The 5,365-nt window shown below is 36.9% G+C and overlaps 1 annotated feature.

Moving 5' to 3' along the window:
* Window positions 3,269-3,448: an enhancer, noted in NCBI's record as "active region_1196". NCBI's record gives its function as "activates an Ori minimal core promoter by ATAC-STARR-seq in GM12878 lymphoblastoid cells {active_cell/tissue: GM12878}" and the evidence as "EXISTENCE:reporter gene assay evidence [ECO:0000049][PMID:35858748]".

Raw genomic sequence — 5,365 nt, 5'->3', positions numbered from 1 at the left:
GGTCTTCAAAGTACTAGGGAAAGCTCATTTCCACATGCCATTTGTTAATGAGTTAATATGCAACCCTTTAATAAACTCCTCTCAACATCCTCCAAATTCCTAGGAAGAAATCACCAAATGGTCATCCAACCAGGGTCCACTCCAGCCCCTAATGTGTCATTCAAACATCACTCCTTAAAAATAGAAAGAGAGTGAGAACTGCCATTTCTTTTCTCTCTTACTCTCTTCTCCACCTGTGGGATTGCAGTCATTCACAAAAGAGCAATTTACTACATTATCAGAAGCTAGTTCTGTTACCATTCTACATTAGTTTGAATCCTATCTCTCTACTCAGGAGGTGTTTGAGCTTTAACAAGTCATTTAATCTCTTTGACCCACAGTTTCCTCATCAGTAAAATAGATGTCATTATAAAAATTAAGAAAGATTATGCTTCATTAGCACCTTGCACGTAAGAAGTACTCAATATATTTTAGCTGTAATATGTATTACATTAATTATATTAATTCTGTCCATTTTTCTTTTTTAATCAATTATTTTGTTTTTAATTGACACATAATTGTACATATTTATGGGGTACAGTGTGATGCTTTGATACATGTTTACACTGTGTAAAAATGTAGGTATTTAGCATATCCATCACCTCATACGTTTATCATTTCTTTGTCATGATGACATTCAAAATCTTCTAAGTGTTTTGAAATATACAATACATTATTGTTAATCATAGCCACCCTACTATATAATGGAACGCCAGAACTTTTTCTCCAATCTAACTGTAATTTTGAAACCATTGCCCAATCTCTCCCTATTCCTCACTATGCTCCCGGCCTCTGGTAACCACTATTCTACACTACTTCTATGAGATCAACTTCTGTAGATTCCACATATGAATGAGACCATGTGATATTTGTCTTTCTGTGCCTGGCTTATTTCACTTAACATAATGTCCTGCAGGTTCATCCATGCTGCCTCAAATGTCAAGATTTCATACTTTTATAGCTGTATATATATATAATATATGTATGTATATTATATGTATGTATGTATATACAGCTATAAAAAGTATGAAATCATATATATATAAAAATATATATACACTACATTTCTGTATTCTTTCATCCATTGATGGAAACTTAGGTTGCTTCCATATTTTGGCTATTGTGAATAATGCTGTAATAAATATGGAAGTGTAGATATCTCTTTGACATACTGATTGCATTTCTTTGGGGCATGTAACCAACAGTGGGATTTCTGGGTCATATGATAGTTCTGGTTTTAATGTTTTTAGTAACTTCTATAGTGTTTTCCATAATGGTTATGCTAACTTACATTTCCACCCACAGTGTGTAAGTGTTCTTTTTTCTCCACATCCACATCAGCACGTTATTTTTTCTTTTATAATAGCCATTCTAACTGGAGTGAGGTAATATCTCATTACCTAGATTTTGACTTGAATAGACTTAAAGCAGTGCCATCAGACAATGTCCAATTTACATTATTGTTAGTTTCTTTGTAAGAAAAATGACCTCTTCCAGGACCATGAAACAAAAAATAGATTTGTGGTGAAGATTGAAAATGACCAAAGTTCAGGAAAAAAAAAGCAGCAAAGTCAGTGATGTAGTCAGATGGGCTTTTTGTTCTGGGGGAACTTGATTTCCACTGTGTTTTGTGTAATATATAACTACGAAATAGTATATTTTGTAGCAATTCAAAACCAATTTTGCTAGCATCATTTCACTGTTATGCCGGTTAATCATAGAATCCCATTAAATGTGAGTACACTGAAAACATCAAATATAGAAGAAACAGTCTGGTAAATAACATTCCAGCAGGAAAAGAAAAGAACAATGCTCCACCTCTGAGTTTGATCACTTCTACCCTGGGTGGACCGGTCCTGGGTTTCTGTCTTTGACTGCTGGGCTCCTGGCTTGGCTTCTCAGATTCCTAACTCCTGGCATACAATAACTGTTAAATAACTCAATAACTATTAAATAACAGTTATTAAACAGTAATTTACTCTTTCTCCAGGATATCATTTTTCTTCTTGTTTCATAAATAATCATGTTTTTTAGAAGACACAAAAACAAAGGGAAGAATATTTAATCACTGAGCAGAAGTAAATACTATTGATATTTTGGTAGGTAAACTTCGAATTTTTGTATGCATGTTCATATTTTTTAATTTTTTATCAAAAATTAAGTCGTCCTCTACCCACTACTTGTAACCAGCTTGTTTTATAACACATCATTTTCCTGTGTCATTAAATAATTTCATCAATTTTTAAGAAAATTTCGATTTGCATTCCTCTGATAATTAATAATATTGACCATTTTTTCATATATCTGCTGGCTGTATATTTTCTTTTGAGAAACGTCTATTTAGGTATTTTGCCCATTTTTTAATTGGATTATTTGTGGGGGTTTTTGTTGTTATTGAGTAGTTTGAGTTCCTTTTAATTGTGGATATTAATCCCTTGTCAGATGCAAAGTTTGCAAATATTTTCTCCTATTCTGTATGTTGTCTCTTCACTCTGTTGTTTCCTTTGCTGTACAGAAGGTTTTTAGTTTCATATGATCCCATTTGTCTATTTTTGCTTTTGCTGTCTATGCTTTTGAGCACATCTCCAGCAGAGCTCTTGGATGACTAAGCACATTGTCAATCAGCAGTAATACTTTGAGATAAGTCTTTTTTTCTGAGCAGTAGTTCTTAACAGTGGACTCAAAATACTCAGTAAACCATGTTGCAAACAGATGTGCTATCATACAGGTTTTGGGGTTCCATTTCTAAAGCGCAGGCAGAGTAGATTCAACATAATTCTTAAAGACCCTAGGATTTTAGGAATAACAAATGAGCATTGCCTTCAACTTTAAGTCACTAGCTGCATTAGCCCTTAACAAGAGAGTCAGCCTGTCCTTTGAAGCTTTGAAGCCAGGCACTGACTTCTCTCTAGCTATGAAAGTCCTAGATAGCATCTTCTTCCAATAGAAGGCTGTTTTGTCTACATTAAAACTGTTGTTTAGTGTAGCCACCTTCATCAGTAATCTTAGACAGATCTTCTGAATAACTTGCTGCAACTTCTACAACAGCACTTGCTGCCTCACCTTGCACTTTTATGTTACAGTGATGGCCTGTTTCTTTAAACTTCATGAACCAACCTCTGCTAGCTTCAAGCTTTTCTTTATCTCATTCTTCATAGAACTAAAAAGAGTTAGGACCTTGCTCTGGATTAGGCTTTGGTTTAAGGGACTGTTGTCACTGGTTTGATCGTCTATCCAGACCACTAAACCTTTCTCCATGTCAGCAGTAAGGCTGTTTCACTTTCTTACTATTCACGTGTTCACCAGAATAGCACTTTTCATTTCCTTCAAGAACTTTTCCTTTGCAGTCACAACTTGGCTAACTGGCACAAAAGGTCTAACTTTCAGCCCATCTTGGTTTTTTACATACCTTCCTCACTAAGATTAATCTTTTCTGGCTTTTAAAGTGAGCCACCTATGACTCTTCCTTTCACTTGAACACTTAGAGGCCACTGTAGTGTTATTAATTACTCTAATACAAATATTAGGACATAGCAAGGCCTGAGGAGGGGATGGTGACTGAAGTCTCATGCTCATGTTTCTCTGGGCCTGATAAATTTTGCACGCCTCACATTCCTTAGACTGCTCTGAGCCACTTTTCTTTCTCAATCCTATCCACTTTCAAGACTCCTACATTCTCATCCGGATTCTCAATAAGGCCATCATGCCCATAAGGTAGTCCCAGCAATCTATTCTTGCTGATTCCTTCTTATATAATAAGACACTTTGGCTGAGCGCGGTGGCTCACACCTGTAATCCCAACACTTTGGGAGGCCGAGGTGGGCAGGTCACGAGGTCAGGAGTTCGAGACCAGACTGACCAACATGGTGAAACCCTATCTCTACTAAAGATACAAAAATTAGCTGGGCGTGGTGGCGCGCATCTGTAATCCCAGCTACTCGGGAGGCTGAGGCAGAAGAATCACTTGAATCCCGGAGGCGGAGGTTGCAGTGAGCCGAGATCATGCCACTGCGCTCCAGCCTGGGTGACAGAGTGAGACTCCATCTCAGAAAAATAAATTTTAAAAAAATGAAAAATAAGACACATTATCTGTATTACTTGAACATTTAATTACATCTTGTCTTATAAGTCACACTCTGGCTTTCTCAGTCTTCCAGGACGGGACTTTGTTCCTACAGGGTCTAATGTCCTGCCCTAATTCTGACCAAATTAGGAGAAGAATATACTGAAATCCAATAGTCTCTGTGGTCTGGAATAAGTCTTACATTCCTTACTTTGTATACATGGGTGAGACCCATCCAACTTGCTTATCCATTGTGCAATTTTGTGTGTGTGTCAAGCCTCAGTTTCCTTGCATATACACCCAGATATCCAAAGTATGGTACCCTGCCTTGAACCCAGCCTCTTCCTTAGTTTGGATCTATCCACTGTCTCCTGCCAGTCTTCTCCCCAAAAAAAGGATGGAGTTATTTCTGCTTCCTGCCCCCACCAGACCCCCAGCCACAAGTAAGGATTATGTTAAAAATGTACTGATCACCTAAGATTAAATATATATCCTAGCAAAGCCTATTTAAGCTTTTCGTGGTTTCTAAATTCTTTTTGTCTCACCCCATCCTCCCAATTGGTTCTCCCTTAATCAGATAACTTGTAATGTCATCCTCATGACCTTTGGGCACTACACATATAACTTGTCCACAGGCTCACATAAGGCCAGGCCCACAGTCTGACAAGAGGCTGTGATGGAGGATTGAGATTATACAGGTCCTTGAGGACAAATAACAAGGTTTATACTTTATCATAATGAGAAGTCCCTGGGAGCTATAAGAGGGAAGGGACAGGATCAGGTTTGCCTTTTAGAAGACTGAGTGTGGTGTGAAGACATCTGGATAGTATCTTTTTATTATAAACATCAAACCACTTATGAAAGGAAGGAAAAACCTTAGGGCAGGAAGCCCTAAAGAGGCTGAGATAAAAAGGCTTGACATAGGAAAGTAATTGTACAGGTGGAGAGAAATGGAAGGAAAATGTTTCAGAGGTAGAATCAATAGAATTTGATGGTTACTTTAATATGTTGTGAGATAAGGAAAATGAGAACAGTTTAAATAAGTCACTCAAGGTCAAACATTGTATGTATGTTTCTTGCCTCATCAACTTGTTTATATATTTCTTAATGGCAGAAACTATCTCAAATGTTTTCATGTACACTTTGGTGCACAGTAAACAGATGCACAATTAATCACATAAATCTGCCATGTGATTTGTCATAAGCCTGTCTACAAAAAAATATTTTATGGAAATCTAGAACCTAAGTTGTCAGGCAATTTTA

The sequence above is a fragment of the Homo sapiens genome, chromosome 1, assembly GCF_000001405.40.
Source record: "Homo sapiens chromosome 1, GRCh38.p14 Primary Assembly".
NCBI lineage: Eukaryota > Metazoa > Chordata > Mammalia > Primates > Hominidae > Homo > Homo sapiens.
The sequence above is the reverse complement of the archived record's forward strand: the minus strand, read 5'-3'. Positions and strand labels throughout refer to the sequence as shown.